This window comes from Homo sapiens, chromosome X (genome assembly GCF_000001405.40).
Source record: "Homo sapiens chromosome X, GRCh38.p14 Primary Assembly".
Classification (NCBI taxonomy): Eukaryota; Metazoa; Chordata; class Mammalia; order Primates; family Hominidae; genus Homo; species Homo sapiens.
In genome coordinates, this window is record NC_000023.11 from 7,141,842 (window position 1) to 7,166,552 (window position 24,711).

Consider the following 24,711-nt stretch of genomic DNA (forward strand, 5'->3'; position numbering starts at 1 on the left):
CTTAAAAATGATGCTGAATCTTCTCTTCCTGGGCTTTGTAAATGGAACAGCAAAGCTTGGATGACAGCACATCTGTTTACAGCATGGTTTACCGAATATTTTAAGCCCACTATTAAGAATTACTGCTCAAAAACAAATATTTCTTTCAAAATATTTCTGCCCACTGACAACGTACCTGGTCACCCAAGAGCTCTGATGGAGATGTACAAGGAGATTCGTGTTATTTTCAGGCCTGCTAACACGACATCTACTCTGCAGCCCATGGATTGAGGAGTAACTTCAACTTTCAAGTCTTATTACTTAGGATATGCATTTCCTAAGGTTATAGATGCCATAGATAGTGATTCCTCTGATGCATCTAGGCAAAGTAAATGGAAAACCTTCAGGAAAGGATTTAGCATTCCAGATGCCATTCACAACATTCATGATCCATGGGAAAAGATGAAAATATCAATGTTAACAGGAGTTTGTAAGGAGTTGATTCCAATCCTCATGGATGACTTTGAGGGGTTCAAGACTTCAGCAGAGGAAGTAACTGCAGAATGTGATGGAAATACCAAGAGAACTAGAATTAGAAGTGAAGCCTGAAGATTTGACTGAGTTGCTGCAATCTCAGGATGAAACCTGAACTGAATAGACACTGCTTCTTAGGGACGCGAAAAGAAAGTGGTTTCTGGAGATAAAAATCTATTTCTGGTGAAGATGTTGTTGAACATTGTTGAAGTGACAACAAAGGATTCACTATATTAACATAAACTTAGTTGGTAAAGCAGCAGCAGCAGAGTTTGAGAGGACTCCAATTTTTTTTTTTTTTTTTTTTTGAGACAGAGTCTTACTCTGTCGTCCAGGCTGGAGTGCAGTGGTGGGATCTCGGCTCACTGCAACCTCAGCCTCCCGGGTTCAAGTGATTCTCGGGCCTCAGCCTCCTGAGTAGCTGGGACTACATGTGTGCACCATCATGCCTGGCTAATTTTTGTGTGTGTATTTTTGGTAGAGATGGGGTTTTGCCATGTTGGCCAGACTGGTCTCGAACTCCTGACCTCAAGTGATCTGCCTGCCTCTGCCTCCCAAAGTGCTGGGATTATAGGCATGAGCCACCATGCCTCGCCAAAAGAGAATTTTTTTGTAAAAGAAAGAATCAAGTGATGTGGCAAACTTCATTGCTGTTTTATTTTTTAAAATTGCCACAGCCACCCCAACCTTCAGCAACCACTACTCTGGTCAACAGTCAATATCAAGACAACACCTTCCACCAGCAAAAGAATTACAACTCACTGAAGGATGACATGATCCCTAGCACTTTTTTTTTTAAAGCAATAAAATGTATTTAAGGTTATGTACATTTTTTAGACATAATGCTATTGTACACCTAATAGAATACAGTATAGTATAAACCTAACCTTATGTGTACTGGGAAACCAAAAACTTCATGTGACTAATTTTATTGCGATGTTTGCTTTACTGTGATGGTCTGGAACTGAACCCACAATAGTTCTCACACATGCCTGTATCCAGTTTACTTAAAGATTCTAAATAAAACCATATTGCTTTTATTTGAAAGAGAGAGCTAGAAAAAAGAAAAGGATATTTTACACCTGCATGCCTAGAATCTGCTGAATATTTGTGTTGCCAGCTGGACAAAACTCTTATTATTTATCTGCAGAATTTTGCAATTTAAGTTTTACCCCCTTCTCAATTATTCTAGAAACAGAAACAGCTGCAGTGGACAACCAACCACTTACTACAAGAACTTAAGGTTGGCATGGTTCAGGTCAATTAGAAAACAGAACCAAACGGAGCTAAATCTATAATCTGATGCTGTTTCTCCAACATACAATATAGCATCTTACTCTAAATCTCTTCGGACCCTTAATAGGAACACACGTGTCTTGTGCTTTCTATATTCCAGAAGCCTTTTCAGTTTCCAGAAACAACAGATTACTCATTGATCACCCTGTAGTGAAAGGCCAATCATGGCCCCTGAGATAAGGGTTCATCTCTGTCCCAAGCCCTCACACTGGCCTCCACCCTCAGCCATCTCCTTTGCAAACGTGGAAGAGAACCTACATTTCACCTAGCAAGGGTAAAACCCAAGGGTACACTGTCAGCCTCCAGGGAAGACAGGGCAAAGAAAGAATGTGAACCTACCACCAGAGTTGCTTTGACATCCAGAGCAAGACCCATTACAAATGATGGAAGGAGGGGAGATTGTGATTACGATCTCATTCCAACTAGGATCACTGCACGTTCTGGGGTTAAACAATAACCACCTATGGAAGCATGCAGAATGATCCTTCACTTTGCTCCACCTTCCTCAGAAATGTGCCAAAACTCTTAGAAATCCCACTTGGAATGAATGACTTGATAACATCAAGTAGTAAGAACCGACTGAGGCTGAAAAGCTTGTCAGCTGCACTTTTAAACCTCAGACGTATTTCATGGGGTCAAATGACAACATACATAGATTCTTCTGACAATCCACCTAGGGCATGCGCTAATATTACGTAAGAAAAATCTATTTTTGTCATCAGCTATATAGATGTTCTGGTGTCTAAAGAAACAGCCTACATGAAGTTAACAAAGAATGACAGCGCAAAACACACTCACGCTATGTCTGTGGAATTTTGGCCACACAGTGGACATGACTGTCAACTGTCTCAGGCAGCCCACAATCCCATCAGTACTGGGCTTGGTAATCCCCACAGAGACCCTACCTCCATGACCTTTTAGGGTCTCCTGGGCCCCAGACAGTGAGGCAGGCACTTATAGTCTCAAGTGCTATTATTTGGCAAGGAGGAAGCTACGGGAGTGCAAAAAGGCACAGAAGAGGTCTTCATTTTACTAAAGGTGAAGTAGAAGTCACTCATTAAAATCCTGCAATCTGGATTTATAAAGATATGGTATATTATGGTCAACACTGCAAATGTTCTTATTACCCTTCGCAGATCTACCTTATTATTTTACGATATTTAAGAAACTGGAAATAAGCTTATTTTCCTTTGATTTTAAAAGGATTTTAAATAATTCTGTATTAGACTCCAAGAAAACACATTTTACACATACCACATTTTACATACACCAAAACTCCTAATTCTGAATATTCTTAACACCCACCCTCTGCCTGACCCTCCCAGCATAGCCATTATCAACAGACATCTTGGGTTGCTCCACAAAGACCTAGACCCATGCTGTCCAAGCCAGTAGCCACCCACCAAATGAGGCTACAGAGTGCCTGAAATGAGGCTAGTTCAAACTAAGATGTGTTGTATGTATAAAACACACACAGATTTTGAGGACCTAGTATCAAAATTAATGTCAAACACTTCAAAGATTTTCTTATACTGACTTTGTATTAAATAATATTTTTGATACATTAGGTTACATAACATACATCATCCAAATCAATGTCATCTGTATCTTTTTACTTATTAAAAATTGCTCCCCAAAATTTTTACCTGGCTCAATTCTATGAGACAGAACTGCTCTGGACAACAAACTGTCTTCTCTTTTAAAGAAATTGGGACCATCTTTTGTGTTCCTAATTTCAGTTATTTACAAACAGAATAATCTTCCCTGTCCAGCTGCTGAGATACTGTTTAATAATTGTCATCTTCTTATTTCAAAATCATCCCAGTTTTTAACTAATCCCACTCCCCTACTCTCTTTCTCTGAATGGCATTTGAGAGCCAAAATTATTAATATTACCTAAATCATAACTGACTCTTACCTTGGTCATGAGAAACAGAAACCGAAGTGTATTTTTTTTTTTTTTTAAAGGACAACTAACAGCATCGTGCATGTCAAAAGCATGGGAAAGTGTCCTGGCTTTCTTCCTGGTCAACATTTCCTCTAAAATCTCCATTTACTTCCTCATTCTCCTCTGATTAAACAATCTTCTCCTCTAATGTTAACAATCCTCCATGAAACTATTCGTTTTCAATTTTACTTCCCCAAGTATGCAAGTATTGGGGCTACATAGACAAACAGAACTTCCTAGAAAAATGCATTCAAAATTCCCGAAAAACAGACCTATTGTAAAATAACTCATTATAAATTGATAGTATATTGTTATGCAAACAACAGATACACTGAAGTGAGGTGCTAAAGAATGACAGCAGGCATAATCTGGTAGATTAAATTAAAGTGGCACATCTTGGAAAGCTGTGTTTTATATTTACACATTTGGTGAAAGAATGGGATAAACAAAGGTATATTTCCAAGAAAGTTTTGCAAGGCCTTACCACCTCAAAGAAGAGGTAGGGCAGGAAAGGAGGAAATGGGCAGAAAATGAGGGGGGGGAATAAAAAGAAGCAGGGCTTATTTTTCCAAATAGCACTAATTCTTGGTTATCTGACTAGATCAGAGGATTGGGTAACAATGTGAGGTCAATGCTTGTAATGCCATTTAAGTCACATTCATCACTTCAGGGCATGGCTATGTGTGAATCTAGAATCAGAATTAGGCACCAAGCTCATTTAGAAGTTTAATAAATTTAATTTTAATGAGACATCTTGTTTGGTATTAAAATTCATGAGACTCCCAGAACAGGTTCTCTGGACCTTTATTAGAGGATAAGAAATTTATTTGACAATTTAACTTTTTGACCACCGGAGTAGGAAAATTCATGTCTACAAACTATACCTATGTATCCCACAAGCTTTCTGAAATTGAGTCATTTCAAATTTAGTAGCTGCATACACCGTTGGCTCCAATTAGTGACCTCTACGGGGATTTTTTTTTTCCTTTGGAATTCATCAGTTTACACCTCTGTGTTCATAAAATGAAGAGAATGGTTTCTGCATGCCTTTTTAAAAGGAAACACTGCTAGGGAATTACCCAGCAATATGATGAGCAGAAACAAGGTCACATTCACAATTTAAGATGAGCTCAACATCATTTATATTTAGAACTGGATCAATCCAGAATCGTTTCTCAGCTTGGCTTATTAGCTGTGTGACCTTGGGCAAGTAGCTTTACCTCTCTGAGCTGCAGGGTTTTTTTTTTTTTTTTTTTTTTAATTAGTGACATGCAAATACTTCCTCCTAACTTGCAGGGTTTTGAAATGAAGGAATGATATACGTAACCAAGCAGGTCAGCTGTCTACAAAGAGTATGCAGACATGTTTATAGATATATGAAGCCTCCTGGTGATTATGTGTCATAGTGTTAACTGTGTCAAGGCTTTCGGTAGAGCTCAGCATAGTTCTGTCTTGAGTTAAAAACAGGGTTTTATTCTTTGAATTCTACTTGAATTCCTCTTGGCTGGTGAAGTTCACATGTGCTAAGACTGACTACCTTAGTACACTGCCAAGGGTTTCTTAATGCCTCGGATTGATAGAGCAGCTGTTCTCAAACGTTCACGCGCTTAAAATGCAGATTCTGATTGGGCAGGGGTAGGGTGGGGCCCCAGCTTCTACATTTACAAGTAGCCCACAGGTGATGTCCCCGGTGCTGGTCACCCTAGGCAGCCAGGCCACTTGACGGACCTTCTGTGCCTCTACACTGTTGACGGCGCGGGATAATTCCTTATGGTTGCATAGGGCACTCCTGTGCACTGCGGGAAGTTTAACAGTATCACTGGTCTGGACTCCACTAGATGCCAGTGACCCCATCACTCCTCGCCAGCTGTGACAGCCAAAATGTCTCCTGACATCGCCATTGCCAGATGCCCTCAGGGCTGCAAAACCGCCAGGTAGAGAACCGCTACCATGCAGGATGCTACCATCAAAGTGCGCCCACAGCAGCAACCTTGGAGCAGGCAGGCAAGTATCCTCCAGGCTACTTTGCAGACGGGGAAGCTGAGGCTGGGCACCGCTCAAGGTCGCACGCATGCGTAACCGAAAAGAGAGCGCGGAGGTCCCGCCGCGCCTCGCTCTGAGGAGAGGACGCGGAGCCGCGCGCCCGCCCGGTGGACCCCAGGGACTGCTCCCACGTGCTCCGGCCCCACGCGCGGGCCGCCGACCGGAAGCGGGTGCTGGGGCCGCGTAGACGCCGCGGCCACGCGCGCCCGCCAGCCCGGACATGGGCCCGCGGGCGCTCCTGGCCGCCGCCCGACTTCGGGGCCAGCCGGGGGCAGAGCGCGCGGGAGCCCGAGCGTCCCTGCATGAACACCGCCCCGCCGCGGCCCCCAGGCCGTGACGTACCCCGCGCCGACCGTCCCCACGCCCACACAAGACCGCCCTTACTGGAGGCGGCGGCTGCACACTACCCACCCAGAAGAAGTCCGTCCATGTCAAAGATGAGGTGGGTGACGGGCTGCGGGGGCGCCGCCATGGTGGCGCCTTCTGGGTCTGGGTGGGGGCGAGGAGGAAGTGCGCGCGCACCCGCCCGCCCCGCGCACGCGCACTGAGGACCTTCTCGCGCGCCCGGGGTCGCTCTGCGCACGCGCCTTCCGCGGCCCCTCGCCCGGCTCCGAGCCCGCGCGTCCTGGGCTGCCTAGTGGCGCTCCGCGCACGCGCACCTTGGGCTTTCGCCGCAGCTGTAGCTGCAGACCCGGGATGCGGCGCGGGCCGGCGCTGTATGTTTACCCGCATCAATTCCTCCTCACTTCACACCCGGAATCGGGCCAAGCTACTCAGCCAGCGGCCGCGCAGAGCCGAGGCCCTCGTCTGGGGACAAATTCAGTGCTTGAGTTTGGATCAGGGGTGTGAATGAGGAAGGAGGGACAGTACAAGGGGCTGTAGAGTGGGGAAAGGGGATTGAAGATGCTCAGGGTGGTATCACTTCTAGCCATCAGGTTGCAGACAAATGGCCTTGGTCAGGAGGTCCCTGGGTGGGTTCGCCCGAGCCCCCAGTCCCTGGACCGTGGGTGGGTTTTTCTCAGTTTCGCTTGCCCGCCTCCTTGCGGTCCTGGACCGCGACTTGAACCGGCAGCCGCGCATGCGCAGTGTGCGGAGAGGCTGCACAACCTCCGTGCCTGCATCTCTGAGCATCCCAGGCTGGTGCATTGTCCCAGAGCAAAGCCAAGCTGCTCAAGGAGGATGCTGAAATAATACTAACAGTCAACATGTCTTGCTGGTTGTGCCTTCTTAGGTATCATCTGTCTTTTGGGCTGCTCTGAGTTTTCTTTCTTTTTTAACTTTTCAAATGCCACCTAAACAGCTTTCTTTTTTTTTTTTCCCGTTTGCCATCGTCAAAAAAATACTTTTTTGTCCCTGTTTCTATTTCGTGTTCGTTTATGTGGTATATTCACGTTTAAGGAAAAGGATTGGACCTTTTGAGAAGCGGAAATAGGAGAATTTCAAGACTTTAAAAACGTGAGGGTGTGCTGGGCGCAGTGGCCCACACCTGTAATCCCAGTACTTAGGGAGGCAGAAGTGGGAGTTGGGGGAATAGTTTGAGCCCAGAAGTTTAAGAACTGCCTGGGCAATATAGCGAGACCCTGTTCTCCACAAAAGGGGAAAAAGACAAAAAAAAAAAGGTGTAAACATGAGAGTGTATTTCTAGTTTAGTGCAGACATAGTGGACAGGGGCATGCCTGGATTCAGCAAGAATTATTATCTATGATAGACAAAGTGCACCTGTGTCTGTTTCCTCCTGGGTAAAATGGAGGTGATAAAGGAGGTGAGGCAGGCCAAGCCCTTAGTACCAGTGCATAATATATAGTCAATAAAATTATGTGTTCTTAGAGGTGGTACTATAAGAGAGCTTCCCCCATTTAATGCAATCGTGATTTCCCTTTGAGGACACGGGATTTCAGAGAAGGCAATTTATGAGCAAATTAGGTAGGGACTTGCGCCTCAAATACAGTCGTTCGTGGTTTCTGTATTAGTTTACTACAGCTGCCATAGTAATATACCACAGACTAAGTAACCTAAACAGCAGATGTGTATTGTGTCACAGATCTGGAGGCCAGAAGTCCTAGATCAAGATGTCAGCAGTCTTAATTCCTTCTGAGGGCTGTGAGGAAAGGACCTATTCCAGGTCTTTCTCCTCAGCTTGAACCTGCTTTCCTTTCCCTGTATCTTGTCCTATCGTCTTCCCTCTGTGTGTGTCTCTGTGTCCAAATTTTCTCCTTTTATAAGAACACGATTCTTATTGGACTAAGGACCACCCTAATAACTACATTTTAATTTGATTACCTCTGACAAAATCCTGTTTCCAAATAAGGTCACATTCTGAGGTAGCGGGGATGAGGACTCCAACATATATTTTTGGGAACACAATTCCATAATAGATGCATTGCACACACATAGCTGTGGTACCTACAGTAAGTATGACAGTATTTCCCACCTGGAGTCTGTAGAATTCTCCCTCCCAGTTTCCTTCCATTCTCTGGAAACAAATGGATGCACACATGTCAGAGTTACTGTTATTTTTTTGGTATTGTAACCACCTCACATTTCTGTTTAGTCATTAAATTAAAAAAGAGTATTTTTCTTTTTTCTTTCTTCTTTTATGAGACAGAGTCTCACTCTGTCACCCAGGCTGGAGCACGGTGGCGCAATCTCTGCTCACTGCAGCCTCAGCCTCCTGGGTTCAAGTGATTCTCCTGCCTCAGCCTCCCAAGTAGCTGGGATTACAGGCGCCAGCCACCACACCCAGCTAATTTTTGTATTTTTTAGTAGAGATGGGGTTTTACCATGTTGGCCAGGCTGGTCTTGAACTCCTGACCTAGTGATCTGCCCACCTCGGCTTCCCAAAGTGCTGGAATTACAGACGTGAGCCACCGCCCCCGGCCAAAAAAGAGTATTTTTCAAAGGAAAAAAGGCCCCAATGCCATTTTGACGAAATGGCAAAGCCTCACAGCGATTGTGGAAGAGACAGATTGGGAAATCGTAGGTACTTCAGCTCTCCACAGATGTGAAAACATGCTTCACATTATGTTTTTATCAGTCTTATTTTCTACACTTTTCAGTAACATCACTTCTATGCATAAGATGGAAGACTCCTCTTTGCTTAAAAAAAAAAAAACAAACTGAATGGTGAATGCTTCTCTGTCACAAGCTAGATTGGAAAAGAATGAAATTTTGTTCTAGCAATGTGGTTTGTACACATATAACAAGTTAGTTTTTAGCTTTTCATAATTCTCCAACAGCCAAAGATGGGCAGTTTCTATGCTGATGGGGATGCATTTCCTTCCATGAATTACAGTTTACTTTTGTACAGTTGTGTTCTCCCCATGGGACAATAACTTACTTTTCCTGACAATTTTAAGACACAATAGAAATGATCCAGTAAACTACAGTACGATGGCATCAAAAGCACATTATCAATGGGACAAATAAACAGATGCTCTTCTTTCACACAACATGTAAACTTAAACATGCCATTTATTGTGTGTATATATATGCCATCCTGTAGGGAGTCTTAGCTTATTTCAACTTCCTTAGTTTGTTGTCCTGGTTCCTGTGTCTCTGTGCTTTTGTTATCTGTTGTATTTGGTTTCCAGTCTGCTGTATCTGTTTTCTGTGAGCCCACTTTGCCCTGTTATTCTCTTTACTTTTCTAGGGGTACAAATCTTGCCCAGCGTAGATGGAGGGTAACAGGTTGGACTAGGGACCATCTTTCTCAGTGGCTGTACACAGTCTACTTTTCTTGATGATGCTGAGAGACCAGAAAGCTCTGACTTCATCTGATGGGGCCTGAATTTGAGCTCCTCATTGCAGACTTACCTGCCTTCTTCCCCTAGATAGCTGGCTTTGCAACGCTGACTTAGGAAGTCTCTTGCTTCAGAGGCACTGAATATTCTCACCCCTTCCCGCTGCTGCTTTCCTCCAAGCCCAGTGAGCTCTGGAAGGGAGCCTGACATAGATGGCTGAATTCGCCACTCCTGGCTTTGTACTCTCGGACATATCTGGTATTTTTGTGTGGGGAGGGTCATTGTTTTTGAACCCCTTCACCATCAGAGTGCAAACTGGCTCTGAGCGAGAGGTCCAGTTTGCTTCTCTGCAGTGTTGGATAACAGATGTGGTCGGAACTGGCAGTGCCAGCATCCCCTGGGAGCTCACTAGAAATGCAGAATCCCAGCTGCCACCCCCAGACTGACCAACTCAGCATCTGCCTTTCAACCAGGGCATCCAATGGTCTAGACCATTGACCCCCTCCTGGGGTATACCAGCTACTTCATTGTGGGGAGGGGGCTTAGGATTATTATTATTATCGTTATTTTATTTATTCGTTTATTTTTTGAGATGGAGTCTCACTCTTTCGCCCAGGCTGGAGTACAGTGGCACGATCTTGGCTCACTGCAAGCTCCGCCTCTCGGGTTCACGCCGTTCTCCTGCCTCAGCCTCCCAAGTAGCTGGGACTACAGGCACCCGCCACTATGCCTGGCTAGTTTTTTGTATTTTTAGTAGAGACGGGGTTTCACCATGTTAGCCAGGATGGTCTCGATTTCCTGACCTTGCGATCCGCCCCCCTCAGCCTCCCAAAGTGCTGGGATTACAGGCGTGAGCCACCACGCCCGGCCAGGATTATTATTTTAATGTAAAGAAGTAGCAAATGTGTTAAGTTTACCAAGATTTATTTTTATTTTATTTTATTTTATTTTTTGAGACAGGATCTCACTGTGTTGCCCAGGGTGGAGTGCAGTGGCGTGAAGTCGGCTCACTGCAACTCCCCTCCTTCCGGGTTCAAGCGATCCTGTCACCTCAGCCTCCCAGGTAGCTGGGACTACAGGTGCCCACCACCATGCCTAGCTAACTTGTGTATTTTTTAGTGGAGACGGGGTTTCACCATGTTGGCCAGGCTAGTCTCAAACTCCTGACCTCAAGTAATCCGCCCGCCTTGGCCTTCCAAAGTGCTGGAAGTACAGGCAGGAGCCATGGCACCCAGCCCTAACATTTAATATTTGTGTGAACACTGGCGAATGTTCTTGTGTCCTGGTCTTTTCTCCAGGTATCCTTGCAGGGAGGAGGGGAGACATCATTGCTCTCAACCATTTTATTTGATTTCAGCATAATGCAATGTACATATTAAGGTAAAGTGTATTTATGGCTTATATTATTTAATTTTTAAATCAACTGTCAAAAAATGGACAGAGGGATTAAAGACATGCCTATGAAAATAATAAAATGTAGCTTCCAGTTAATAACAAGAAAGTAGAAATTCCAGCATCAGCTTTATAGCCTTCACTAATGATTACAGATCATGTTTCGTAATATCCGTAATGTTAGTGCCTAAGTAGACACACACTATTCTAAAATAGCACATGTGAAGGGAGGATGTGTGCTCCAAAAATGTGGAGAAGTGAAGCATGTGGTCAGACCTTACCATGCATTCGAATTTCCTCTGTCCTGCCAGGATTCTCACTGACTAGACATGACTGGACATCTGAGAGAGGGGCTCAGGCTTCATCACACCCCACCCTTTATCATCTCATTGTTCTGAGATTTAGGGCTCCTGACTCCAAACAGTTCCCTCCTTGCTTGCCCCTCTCTCCCTTTCTCCTTCCCTCCCTTTCTTTCCTCCTTCTCTCTTTCCCTGTCTTCCTTCCTGTCCTCCTCTTCGACTCCTTCCCTCTCTCCTTCCCTCCCTTCCTTTCCTCCTTCTCTCTTTTCCTGTCTTCCTTCCAGTTCTCCTCCTCCACTCTCTCCCTCTCTCATTCCTTCCCTTCCTTTCCTCCTGTCTTCCTCCTGTCCTCCTCCTTGACTCCTTCCCTCTCTCCTTCCCTCCCTTCCTTTCCTCCTCCTTCTCTCTTTCTGTTTTCCTTCCTGTTCTTCTCCTCCACTCTCTCCTTCCTTCCCTTCCTTTCCTCCTTCTCTCTTTTCCTGTCTTCCTTCCTGTCCTCCTCCGTGACTCCCTCACTCTCTGCTTCCTTCTCTTCCTTTCCTCCTTCTCTCTTTTCCTGTCTTCCTTCCTGTCCTCCTCAACTCCCTCCCTCTCTCCTTCCCTCCCTTCCTTTCCTCCTTCTCTCTTTTCCTGTCTTTCTTCCTGTCCTCCTCCTCCTCGACTCCTTCCCTCTCTCCTTCCCTCCCTTCCTTTCCTCCTTCTCTCTTTTTCTGTCTTCCTTCCTGTCCTCCTCCTCAACTCCCTCCCTCTCTGCTTCCTTCCCTTCCTTTCCTCCTTCTCTCTTTTCCTGTCTTCCTTCCTTCCTGTCCTCCTGCTCAACTCCCTCCCTCTCTGCTTCCTTCCCTTCCTTTCTTTCTTCTCTCTTTTCCTGTCTTCCTGTTCTCCTCCTAAACTCCCTCCCCCTCTCCTGCCCTCTCTCCCTCTTTTCCTTTTTTCTTTCCCTCCTGACATTTCCTCTGGCGTAGCTCCCTCTCTCCAGGACCTGTGAGGGGTTTGTGCACCCATAATGGATACAAATGGGGATGTCAGCAACTTGGGCCTTTGCTGTGTCTTGTACCACATTCACAAAGAGGGGTACCCACTGGCCCTGCCTGCTGAAGCCTCTCTCCTTGAATGGAATCACAGCTGGAGCTCACCACGCAGAGAGCTGAATGCCATCTCTAATGTGCGCCTTGCGTCGTCTCTGCTTCTGAATAAACCACATGCCCACCTGCAAGGCTCTGAGTTCCTGTCACATCTTATGCAAGTTGCTTAGTGCACTGGTCACTTCTCCGAAGTGTTTATAAAGGCCACATGCTGAGAGTCTGAGATGAAAGAGTGATTCGTTTATGGTTAAAGTTGGCTCATTGTTTCATAGCAACTGTTGTAATAGCCACCAGCCCTCAAATAATTATGATGTACTTACAACTTTATAAATGATCTGTTACTTCATTGACTCGGCAACTTTGCAAGGTAAACAATGGAATTCTTCTTCTTATAGAAATAAAGAAATGGAGCTTGAGGAAAGTCAGGTAGCTTGCCACAAGTCATATACCTGAAAACGATCAGGGTGGAGAGTTCAACCTCTGTTGGTCTTCCTTCCTCAAAAAGAGCCAAAAGGCAAAAACTATCTATTAATATGTTTCCTATATGTTTTCAAAATTTCTTATGTTGTATGTAAGCAATCAGGACCACAACGTGAATAGATAATATCAAAATCAAACACAGGAGTGAATGTGCAAATAAAGGGAAAAAAAGTATTCTAGAAAACACCAGCAAAAAAAAATAAGGAAAAGGAAGCTTCAAAAAATAAACAAGGAACATTTGTTTTCTTCAATTATGATGTCAGTATGGCATGTCAGCGATAACGTGGTCCAACCAGTCATTTCTAGGATTGAAATTTTTCTCCTTTATTTTACTTGCACCCAACTCCTGTGCTGCTTGGTGCAAGCTAACATCTGGAGGGAACAGAAAGCTGGTTGCACAGCCTCTCCCTTCAGCTTCCCCATGATCACATAAGCCTGGAAAATGTGCTGAATGAGTCCTTGCCTCCTCAATTCACAGCCATGTGTTCACTTGAAACTCTCCCATTTCTGTGGTCAACGATGGTCTTCCCATTTTTTTTTTTAACACAACAGTTCCCAAACTTACTCAACAGGGACCATCACATATGCTCTTTAAAAAGAACATAATATCTCCTTCAAACACACTTTAGAAATACCAGACTACTGTTCAGCATAGGGTCCATTCTGACTTACATTCTGCCTCACCACCAACTTTCTTGAAGCAATCATTCAGTAAGGCTGTGGGATTTTGCCAAGTCAGCGTGACACCAAACACATTGGAAAAGCAGACTAAATTTACAGAGTAAAATTCAGAGAATGAGAATCTTAGGTACCTCAAATAGTTAAGATTTTAAGAATCTTAAAGGGAACAGATTATGTTTATATGTATATATGTATACCATGCATATGTTATATAATCTATATAAATAATATATTGGTGTGCATGATTTTTATAAACTTGAGGAAATGCCTTTATATATAACTTAAATATATTTAGTTTGTATATATTCACAAATGTATATGTTAAATATTATATTACAAACAATGCAACTGCATGGCTTTAAGAAAGTTAAGAAGAAAGGTGATTACAGTAGGTTCTCACTTGTTGGTAGGTTTTTGGAAACTGTGACTTTAAGCAAAGCCACATATAACAAAACCAATTTTTTTCTCATCAACTTTATAACAAAATGATGTTGAATGAAATAACCTGCTATATATCGTTCCTCTTAAAGTTGCAATTTCCGAGAATCAGCCAGGTATGGAGGCTCACGCCTATAATCTCAGCGCTTTGGGAGGCTGAGGCAGGTGGAATGCTTGAGCTCAGGAGTTCAAGACCAGCCTGGGCAACATGGTGAAACCCCATCTCTACAAAAAAAATACAAAAATTAGCTGGGTGTGATGGCATGCACCTGTTGTCCCAGCTACTTGGGGGGACTGAGATGGGAGGATTGCTTAAGCCTGGGAGGTCGAGGCTGCAGTGAGCTCTGATCATGCCACTGCACTCCAGCCTGGGTGTCATAGTGAGAACCTATCTCAAAAAAAAAAAAAATTCTGAGAATCTATTGACATTGTTAAGTGAGGAGTTATTGTATATATGATTTAAATTTATTACATATATACACACATATAGATGCATGCATGTGTGGGTTTTTTTATTTTTGGCTGGCTCTTGCTTCTCTTTGGATGTATGTGTGGTTTTAACAATCTTCAGGTGAAAGGTCTTTATATATAATATATGTGTGTATATATATTTATATATAATTGCACAGGTTTGAGAGTTGTTTAATAGGCTAAGTGAAGTAGGTGGGTCAAACAGGTACAACACATGTATTTTCTTCTCTTGTGGGCACATTTCAATTGAATATGTTTATTGGCTGCTGTTGTATTAGTGCGTAAACAATAACATTTGGAAGCATCTATTTCAAGTCAATTTCCTAGGGCCATTTAAACCACTCTGAAAGAATCTTAGAGGCAATAAATTTCCATGACTCCTTCCTCCTGGTGTAAACTAGGATGCCAGTTAAAGAAAGGTAGTTTACTAGGACTTGGGTTTTGGTTTAATAATAAAGCTATAACTTGAAACATGGAAATGCAGTGGCTGTGATTAAATCTGCTCCTGCAAAATGGGAAGCGAATGATAATTAAAAACCACAAATATGCAAAAATACCTAGAAACTATTCATGATTTTTTGTGTTCCTTCTTTGATCTGCCCCCAACCATGTTCCATGTAACACACATAGGAGGAATTCTGGGGTTTTCCACATGTTTTTGCCCTTTCCTGTGCCATACCCTTTACTTTAATAGACAAGGAGGGGGTCCCCAAACCAGAGATTTGAGAGCACTTTTGGTGTTTTAATGTTTCTAGACTTTATGAAGCTGGCAAATGGCTTGGAGGAGAATATTTGAGCCCACTGAATGTATACAGAGCTCACTGCTATTTGTCTTGTGCAGTAGTGGATGATGCAATAGGGAGACTATAAGCTGGATTCTGGGGCTCCAGGTCTCTTCCTTCTGCATGGCTAAGAGGAGAACCCTTCTGTGAGCACCGTGTTGCTCTCATCCCACTTGCCCAATTTGCATTGAGATGCTTGTTCCTTGATTCAGGGCCCTAATTATCAAGCCTCGATCTTTGCTCATGTGACTGCTGCCTGTCGAGTCTTTGAGAGTAAGTGTTCCCTTGCTCATCTCTGATTGCATGTGCCCTTCTTCTGTGGGACTCCAGGATTTCCCACCAACAGTCTCTCTTATGGGTTCTTTCTGGGTAGAGGCCCAAGTATGAAGACATGCCCAGTGTTAGCTTGAGGGTTCCTGTGCAATGCCACTGATGGTTGGCACAGTTATAGGAATGTCAAACATCAGGTAGGTTCAACTCTGAACAATTTCATTAAGCATCTACGTGGATTCATATACCAAAGTCTGTGCTTTTCATGATCTTAAAGCACAGTAATTTTCATAGCTCGTAAAGTAAAATCTTTTCACTTCTGTCTTCTCAAAATTGCCAAAAAGGATCATCCATTTCTTTTGGCCAGGCACCATGCCCTGGGACATTATATCTAATCAATAAAGGGTTATTGATTAGAGGGGCCTGAGATGTATGCTTCTGCCTGCCTTACTGGTGAGAAAGCTGGTGCCCCAAGTGATTAAGCACTTTTTGGAGGTCATACAGCTAGTGGGTGCTGGAATCAGAATGCCATGTCTGTCTGACTCCAAAGTCCTCCATCCACATATCAAGACAAATTATTCTGGGAAATATTTATTGTAACAGGATACTCATTTGACAGCATCATGAAATGAGATGGAAAAAAATGGCATTCTGTAGGAATTTTCCATGTAGATAACCAGGAACCCTATGGATCTCTGGCCTCACAGCAAGGAGAGAAGTGGGGGCTTATGAAGAGGTTTCTGTGGCATTATAGCCCTGCCTCCTCCCCAGTGGAGTTAGGCTTTCTTTTTTCTTGTTTCCTAAATGAAATAAAAACAAATGACATGGCATGCATCTCTCTTAGCCTCAGTCCAATGTTGAGGCTTCAGCGACACTCCTCAGAGAGGTTGATATTTGATTGTGCATCTCTTGGGGGACCTAGGTGGGTGGCACCTGATCCCTGCCTGATCTGCTCTAGAGACTTCTGATCTCGAGGACTAGGGGGAGTTGATTTAGGTTGCACTTCCAGAGTCCCTCAAACAAATATGCATAACCAGATAACCTTAATGATTTGGACTTTTGCCCCACAAAATCTGCTGGGATGAGGAGGAAACTCCAGCAGAGAGGCGCCACTTGAAAACCAGTTGGAGGAAGAGACAACATCGCCCGCATCTCAGGAGTTGCAAATGGGGGTGATCCAGCTGTCCTGGCTTCCAAGAACTTAAGAAAATGCCCTTCAGCTTTGCCTGAAATCTTCACATGACAGGACCAGTGAGAGAAGAACAAACCTTCTGCTCCTTTTCGCCTTCCTTTCCTGCTACTCTCCAGGTGGAGGGATCAGTAACCACAGCAGGGGGAATGAGGGAGGATGACAATTGAGAAAGCCAGAAGCTTCCCCGTGTGTGCCCTCTGTTTCAGGACCATGAAAAGCATGCCTTAGCTGGGGGTAGGGTGGGGAGAAAGGGAAGTCTTACTCTGGAATTAAAGCTGCAGAGATTTAGCCTTTCATTCGACATTTAACTTTGATCTTGAAAGCATTCAGTGACCAGAAACATCATGTGATGTGCTGGAATTTTGACCACTAGCTGGTATAAGACATTTCTGCAATGAGTAAGTTTTACAGAGACCCTGGGAGACAAAACATGGCCTTTTGGTAAAATCCGAGTCGTATTTATTCATGTTAAAATACTTTTCAGGTTTCAGCATGCCCAAATCCTTAGTTATTATTAAGACTAGAAAATGGGCTAACACTGCTACTTTATATATTATTTGAGTGCCTACTGAGAGCCAGAGGCACACAAAATAATTAGAAATAAGCAATTTTTTATTTATAGAAGCAAAGACTCAGATTAGGCTTTTTTTTTTCTTTCTCCCTTTCCTTTTTCCCTAAATGCTGTAAAAACAAACAACACGAGGAAACTAATAAAAGAGAAACACTGGAGGTTATTTTTCCTGGGGTGTGATTTTCCCCCAAGGTGTGTGGTCAGAAGACTGCCTGCTGTTTCATCAGCGTTGATGGGACACCTCCCTGCTGAGTGGTAGCCCTGCTCATTGCCCAACCCTGTGGTATTGACACAGAGAATGAATTCCTTGGGGCTCTTGGCACTGTGTTGTATGTGTAACTCACGTAACAAACAGGCTGGCAAGGCTTAGGCACATCAGGCTCTCCACAGATCATTAAAAACAAAACCCTTGCTCTTCTCATCCTAAAACCACGTCCTATGTTGTTCATCGAAAAAATAATCATCACTGTTTGTCTGTCCCACCCCACCATTATATAGCCTCCCTCTTCTTCCTCAACACATGCTCCCTTTCCTTGCTGCGCACCATGCAATGCAAAATTCAGTGCCTACAGGAAGTGCTCTCAGTGAACTCCTGATTGTTTTCCAGGTTAGGGAGTCAATAGGTGAATAAGAATTGCAGTTAAGTATTCAGGGCTGGCACCCAAAGCTCCTCCAAAGTGATGAGTTGGTGAAGGAAGTCCAGCTTCCCTCTGAGTGATGTTAAAAATGTGTGGGGCACTGGGGGAGAGGAAGGCCAGGTGGAGAAATACATGCAGTTAAATAACTTTTTTATGATAGATTCGCTGATTACTCAGTGATGACTTTATTGCCAATGATGCTCCAATATAACTGCCCAGGCTGTCAAATGATTATTCACACACGATGAGCGTTCGGCTGGGATACTTGTCCAATGTGATGGTATGAAAAGCTGTTTGAGATCCTTGAAGGAGACGTACAAAGTGTCTTGAGTCTTCCAGTAAAGAGCCCTCTCTGAAAGCCTTGTAAGAACTGGTGAGTTACATTTTTAATATGATTATTATTTTTTCTTCTCTGCTGCTAAGATGTTGGGATACGTGATGACAGAAAATTGCTTACGGGGAATATTTACTTTAGTTGCACTGCTTCAAAGGAAGTCTAAAGGTTTCTATTTATTTCCCTTCCTGGAATAGCCCAAGAGCAGCATGTTAAGAGTTAATTGAATAAGTAGAAGAGCCAAGTCTTTGCTCTGGGAGGCGGAGTTTTAAATTCTCTTCTGTGGGACTGATCAAAGTTTATACATTTTTTATCTGTAGTGTTACATTAAAGAAAATATCTGTAAAACCACCTACAACAATTTATCTAATATGTTTTCATTTGCTCATTTGCCCTGAAACAAGGCTGTCTATAAGGAGAAGAAAGTAATTGCCAAATAGTTTGTCTTTGTGGATTAGAGTGGTAGTTTGAAAACACAAGCTTGGTATAAAGAATACTGGAGTTTAGAGGAAAGAATCCTAAAAGGAAATGAGCAAAGGAAGTGGTGGATTTTGTGCTATAGTTTACACAAAAGAGAAATTAAATCAATTAACCTCATATATGAAAATACTGCACCCACTGCTTCTGAGTTAGATACGATGTCTATGCGGGAGATGTCTTTGCCATCCAATGCATTCCCTGAAAGATTGGCATGATTTTAAGCTTTCAACTTACTGCTTTTCTAAAGGATGAATTTGAGAAGGAATTAACAGTTGTTTCACTCTTTTTCATTTTAAATATACAGATTCAATATCTGTAATGTTAATATGTATGTATCCTAAAGAGTGGAAATACGTATCCTAAAGAGTGGAAAAAGAACATACATGCCTACTTCTAGAGGGGCATACACGTAGATCTCTCAGTTTATCCTCAGGACCATGCATGAAGTCAAATGTTTCTTTTTGTTTTTTCTTTTTTTTGAGATGGAGTCTCGACCTGTCTCCCAGGCTAGAGTGCAGTGGTGCGATCTCAGCTTACCACAACCTCCACCTCCTGGGTTCCAGCAATTCTTCTGCCTCAGCCTCCCGAGTAGCTAGGATTACAGGCATGTGCCACTATGCCTGGCTAATTTTTTTTTTTTTTTTGTATTTTTAGTAGAGATGGGGTTTTGCCATGTTGGCCAGGCTGGTCTCGAACTCCTGACCTCAAGTGGTCTGCCTGCCTAGGCCTCCCAAAGTGTTGGGATTACATGCATGAGCCACTGCATCCGGCTGAAGCCAAATGTTTCTTAACAGGCTATGTTGGTTTTAAGATGTGGTGTTTATTACTGCACTTTTTACAGTATACTTGTGTATGTAAGATCATCTCTATAAAAGAACTAGGTTAACTGAAGAATGGGTATGTAGTTCAGAGATCAGTTAGTGTTTTCTGAAAATTTATATTAATTGCAGAAAATGAACATCCAAAAACAATTTAACTTTTGCAATGCATGCTGTACATAATCTAGTAATTATGAACCAACCAAATGGATGATTTTTTCCCCAAAGAGAGATGCTAAGAAATTCCTTTGATCTCTTTCAAGTAAACTCTCTGTTATCTTATGAGCAATTATAATGAATTAAGATGTCCAGTTCATGCTTACTTTACTTCTTATCAGAGTATCAACATATTTCATGTACACATCAGTTTTGTCTTCTGTGCCAACCCGAGCAGATTGAGTTGGAGGAATGTTAGAAATAATTTTCACTGAAAATAATATCACTAAAAGTGTTAAAATTATTTTACAGAAAGTTTGCTCCATTTCGTGTCATTTACTGTAGGTACTCTTTGTCTCAAGGAACACATGACAATGCTTTACTGAGTACCCTGTGAGTTGGTATCTATAGTGACATTACTATTTGCCAACTGAGAAATTGCCCCATATTCATTTATAATGAGATTATCACATCACAGCTGATATCAGGAGACAGAAATCTAAAAGCTTTCAGTGCATGAAAAAAAGATAATAATGACTCCTCTTTGCATTAAAAACCTAAATAGTAGATGTTGAGCATCCCTTAAAAGCTTGAATAAAATAAGCATTAAGAGTTTATGGCCAAAAGTCCTAAGCCATGCTTTCTAGACCAGGTTCTGTCACCATTGTTTTGTTTCCATCTTGTCTTCTCCTTAAAATTCGAGCCTTGGTTGGAAATTAACCCCTGTCAAACTTGGCCACTGAGTCAACAAGCACTTCCCCAGTGCCCCAGGGACACAGGTAACAGAGGATGTGGCAATGATGAAGCAGAAGTCCAGTCTCACCTCAGGTGTTTTCTGTGAAGGAAAACAAGCAGTATAAATACTGCAAGTACCAATGTCAATAATAATTAAATGCTTATTATGAGAAGGAAGTGCAGGGCAGAGACTTGGCACAGGGCTAATTAGGAGAAGCACCTTCAACTGTGAGGTCTGGGAGAAAGCCCAGGGGGATGGAACAGAGATGGCTTAGGGTCCCGGGTTCCTCTTGGCGGTTCCAAGACTGGGAGATTTTTAGTTTAGAGATAGAGACTGGGACGTTCTCTTTCACAATGAATTTGTCTATCCAGCGATTCCCCACGGAGGCACTGTTGGTACGTGGGGCTGGGTGATTCCTTGCTGTAGGGGCTATCCAGTGCGTGGTAGGATGCAGCAACCCACAATATCTCCAGATGTTGCCAAATGTCTCCTGGTAGGTAAAATCATCCTCCCGGATGACAATCTCTGGCCTGAAATAAGCATTTAAAATGTGTAAGACTGGCCGGGCGCAGTGGCTCACGCCTGTAATCCCAGCACTTTGGGAGGCGGAGGCAGGTGGATCACGAGGTCAGGAGTTTGAGACCAGCTGGGCCAGCATGGTGAAACCCCGTCTATACTAAAAAAAAAAAAAAAAAAAAAAAAATTAGCTGGGCCTGGTGGCGCGCGCCTGTAATCTCGGCTACTCAGGAGGCTGAGGCAGGAGAATTGCTTGAACCCGGGATGCAGACGTTGCAGTGAGCCGAGATCACACCACTGCACTCCAGCCTGGGCGACAGAGCAAGACTCCGTCTCAAAAAAAAAAAAAAAAAAAAATGCATGAGACAGAGCTTACTTAGAGCAGGGTTTTTCAACCTCAGCACTGCAGACATTTGGGGCTGGGTCACTCTCTGGTGGTGGCTGTCCTGTGCACCATAGGGTGCTGAGCATTATCCCTGGGCTCCACCCAGCAGATGCCAGCAGCACCTCCCACCCACTGCTAAGTTATAACATCCAAGCTTGTCTCCAGATATCACCAGATGTTTCTTGGGTTGCAAAACTGTCTCTTGTGTAGAATCACCAAATTGGAAACAGATAAGAACCGGCATCTGGGATCACAGAAGAGGTGTGGAGATCACTGTTTTGAGTCTGTTCTCAGCTCTTTTTCCAGCTGGCCAGGCAGCTCTGTGTTTTTGCTAGAGCTTGTCACAGCTGGTTTGACCTGGGTCATTGGGCAAGCATTCCCTGGGTCTCAACTTGTCACCTCTTCTGCCTATGAGGAAACTCTGGAGCTATCCACATCCAAGTGACTTGGCCAAGGTTCTGTTCAGCATAGGTGGCTTTTCCAGTACCTGACTTCTCAGCCCACAGGACTTTACCACTTCTTTTCAAATCTTGCCTTCAGAAATGTAGGTTTGCAATCCTTTGTCCATAACCAAAAATAGAAAAGAAAAACATTGAAAACCCAGAGTTTTTCTAACATACTTGGCAGTGACACCAGCTCGAACCAACTAACATAAAACTAACATAAAGTGAAAAGTCTTCATTCATCCCACAGATTGTGGGTATTCATTTTGTTTCACTGCAGAACTTTTTTTAGATAGGGTCTCATTCTGTCACCAGGATGAAGTGCAGTGGCTCGATCTCAGCTCACTGCAATCTCTGCCTCCTTGGTTCAAACAATTCTCCCACCTCAGCCTCCCCAGTATCTGGGACTACAGGTGCCCACCATCATGCTCAGCTAATTTTTTTTTGTATTTTTTGGTAGAGACGGGGTTTTACCATGTTGGCCAGGCTGGTCTTAAACTCCTGACCTCAGGTGATCTGCTCACCTCTGCCTCCCAAAGTGCTGGGATTACAGGCGTCAGCTACTGTGCCCAGCCTCACTGCAAAACTGTTAACATGGGTGACCACAGGCTGCTGTCCAAGACTTCGCTTGAGCTATTATATATGACATGAGATATTCACCATTACCTTATAAAACCCAAAACATTCTGCATTCTGACACACACCTTTTCTCAAAAGTTTCCATCTCAAGACTATGGGCCTGAGAATGTAATTGCAAGTGGAAAAGGGTTCATTCTTAACTTCTTGTGACCTTGACCACCCGATGGTGCTGTTGTTTTTTGGTTTATGGTATCATCATGTGCTTCTGTGTGTCCTCGGATGCAGCTTCCATTATGTAAAACCTCCTTCCTTTTCTGTACTCTTTAAGCTTTAGAATAACCTGAGAACACTCAGGAACTGAAATTGAGCCAGAAAAGCTGGGCAGAATAGCTGTGTCATTTGGTTCTGGGCCCACTTGTAAGTAGCTCCCAGCCCCCACTTCCCAGCCAATTACCTAAGATGCAAAGAACCATTTACACGAATCTGGGGGACAGAGTGACCAGACCTGGGGACTCTATGGCTTGCGGCTATTAAACCAAAAGACACTTCTTCATTGTTGAAAGGCTAAATTCCATTAAAAAAAAAAGAAAACAAAAGTACAAGCATGGTGGCTCTCACGCCTGGAATCCCAGCACTTCAGGAGGCTGAGGTGGGTGGATTGCTTGAGTCTAGGAATTCAAGAGTGGCCTGGGCAACATGGCAAAACCCCATCTTTACAAAAAAAAAAAACACACACACACACAAAAAGAAGAGTCAGGTGTGGTGTCACATGCCTGTAGTCCCAGCTACCTGGGAGGCTGAGGTGGGAGGACAGCTTGAGTCTGGCAGGTTGAGGCTGCAGTGAGCACTGATTGTACCATTGCACTCTAGCCTGGGCAACAGAGCAAGACCCTCTCTCAACAATGAAAAATAAACAAACAAAAACAACTACCAAGTCCTTATTTGGTTTGTTAAAAAGAAAGAAAAATTGTTCTTTATTGAAGTATGGGTACATCTGGGACAGAATTTCTCATCCTCTGCACACTAGATATTTGGGGCAGGATAATTCCCTTTTGTGGGATGGACTGTCCTATGCAGTGTGGGGTGTTAGTGGCTTTGCTGGACTGTGATGGCCAATATCTACCTTCCAGCTGTGACAGCCAGAAATGACTCCAGACATTGTCCAACATTCCCTGGAATGCACAATCACCCCTGGTTGAGAACCACTGGTCTAGAAAAAGCATTTTAAAAGGAGTAACAGGCTGGGCATGGTGGCTCACATCTATAGTCACAATGTGTTGGGAGGCCAAGGAGGGCGAGGAGATTGACACCAGGAGTTCGAGGCCAGCCTGGACAACTCTGTTTCTACAAAAAGTAAAAAAATAAAATATCAGCCAGGTGTGGTGGCTCACACCTGTAGTCCCAGCGACTTGGGAGGCTGAAGTAGGAGGATCCCTTGAGCCTAGGAGTTTGAGGTTGCCATGAGCTGTGATCACACCACTGCACTCCAGCTGGGTAACAGAGTGAGATCCTGTCTCTAAAAATAAAATAATAATAAAATAAAAATAGTAATGCAAAGCTTCGACTTAATCAGGATTCTCTGCCTTGATACTATTGACATTTGAGGCCAGATCATTCTCTGTTGTCAGGAACTGTTCTGTCCACACTTAGTAGCATCTCTGGCCTCTGCTCACTGGATGACAATAGCACTGTCCATAAGTTGTAACAACCAAAAATATCTTCAGACATTGCCAATGTCCCCCGGGGGTCAAATTGGGCCCTGGCAAGAACCACTGGTCTAGGCTAGTGCCGTAGTCTACAGAGTCACATTACTTTAACTTTGTGTGGTGCCTCATATTTTACAGAAAGCATTTTCTCTTTCTCTCTGTCGCTGTCTTTTTTTTTTTTTTTTTTTAATTGAGACAGGGTCTTGCTCTGTCATCCAGGCTGTAGTGCAGTGGCGTGATTACGGCTCGCTGCACCCTCAACCTCCCAGGCTCAATCGACCCGCCCATCTCAGCCTTCTAAGTAGCTAGGGCTACAGGTGCATACCACCACACCTGACTAATTTTTGTATTCTTTGTAGAATCGGGGTCTCATCACGTTGCCCAGGCTGATCTTGAACTCCTAGGCTCAAGTGACCCACCTGCCTTGGCCTCCCAAAGTGCTGGGATTACAGGCATAAGCCATCCTGTCTGGCTGCATTATCTTATATTTTGCTTCATTTAATACTTTTCTCTTTCAACCCTGTGAGGTATTTTTGAGTCCCATTTTTGTCGGTGGGAAAACTAACCCCAGCAATCTATACAGTGTGTCACAGAGTTTTGTTTGTACCCTGCCATGTTGCCAGATATCACATGGATGACTGAAGTATGGGGATATGCAAAGCCATTTGTCTTAATTGGCAGACAGGATCATATAAAATAATTTACATGATACTAAGTAG

General features: G+C 43.6%; 2 protein-coding genes and 1 non-coding gene across 10 annotated transcripts in view, besides 2 other annotated features; 2 read left to right on the plus strand and 1 right to left on the minus strand.

The window, feature by feature from the left end:
- The window catches only part of PUDP (pseudouridine 5'-phosphatase), a 442,316-nt gene extending 436,004 nt beyond the window's left edge, over window positions 1–6,312 (minus strand). For all 6 annotated transcript variants that reach the window (XR_007068202.1, XR_001755734.2, NM_001178136.2 and 3 more), the window contains exon 1: window positions 6,212–6,312. Coding sequence is in view for 4 of the 6 variants with exons in the window: in NM_001178136.2 (NP_001171607.1) it covers window positions 6,212–6,272 (61 nt within the window). In the remaining 2 variants the exon portion in view is untranslated. The remainder of the gene's footprint in view (window positions 1–6,211) is intronic.
- The window catches only part of STS (steroid sulfatase), a 207,352-nt gene continuing 188,089 nt past the window's right edge, over window positions 5,449–24,711 (plus strand). The window contains exons 1-2 of one of the 3 annotated variants that reach the window (NM_001320751.2): window positions 5,871–6,242; window positions 18,059–18,212. The gene's annotated coding sequence lies outside the window, so the exon portion shown is untranslated. Of the gene's footprint in view, window positions 5,762–5,870; window positions 6,243–18,058; window positions 18,213–24,711 lie in introns of those variants that run through there. The other 2 variants (NM_001320750.3, NM_001320752.2) reach the window with 2 other exon arrangements.
- Window positions 5,832–6,551: a silencer, noted in NCBI's record as "silent region_20649". NCBI's record gives its function as "represses an Ori minimal core promoter by ATAC-STARR-seq in GM12878 lymphoblastoid cells {active_cell/tissue: GM12878}" and the evidence as "EXISTENCE:reporter gene assay evidence [ECO:0000049][PMID:35858748]".
- On the plus strand, window positions 6,019–6,096 carry MIR4767 (microRNA 4767). The gene has a single exon (NR_039924.1). It is a non-coding gene; the product is annotated as a microRNA 4767 (primary transcript).
- Window positions 6,742–6,791: an enhancer, noted in NCBI's record as "active region_29389". NCBI's record gives its function as "activates an Ori minimal core promoter by ATAC-STARR-seq in GM12878 lymphoblastoid cells {active_cell/tissue: GM12878}" and the evidence as "EXISTENCE:reporter gene assay evidence [ECO:0000049][PMID:35858748]".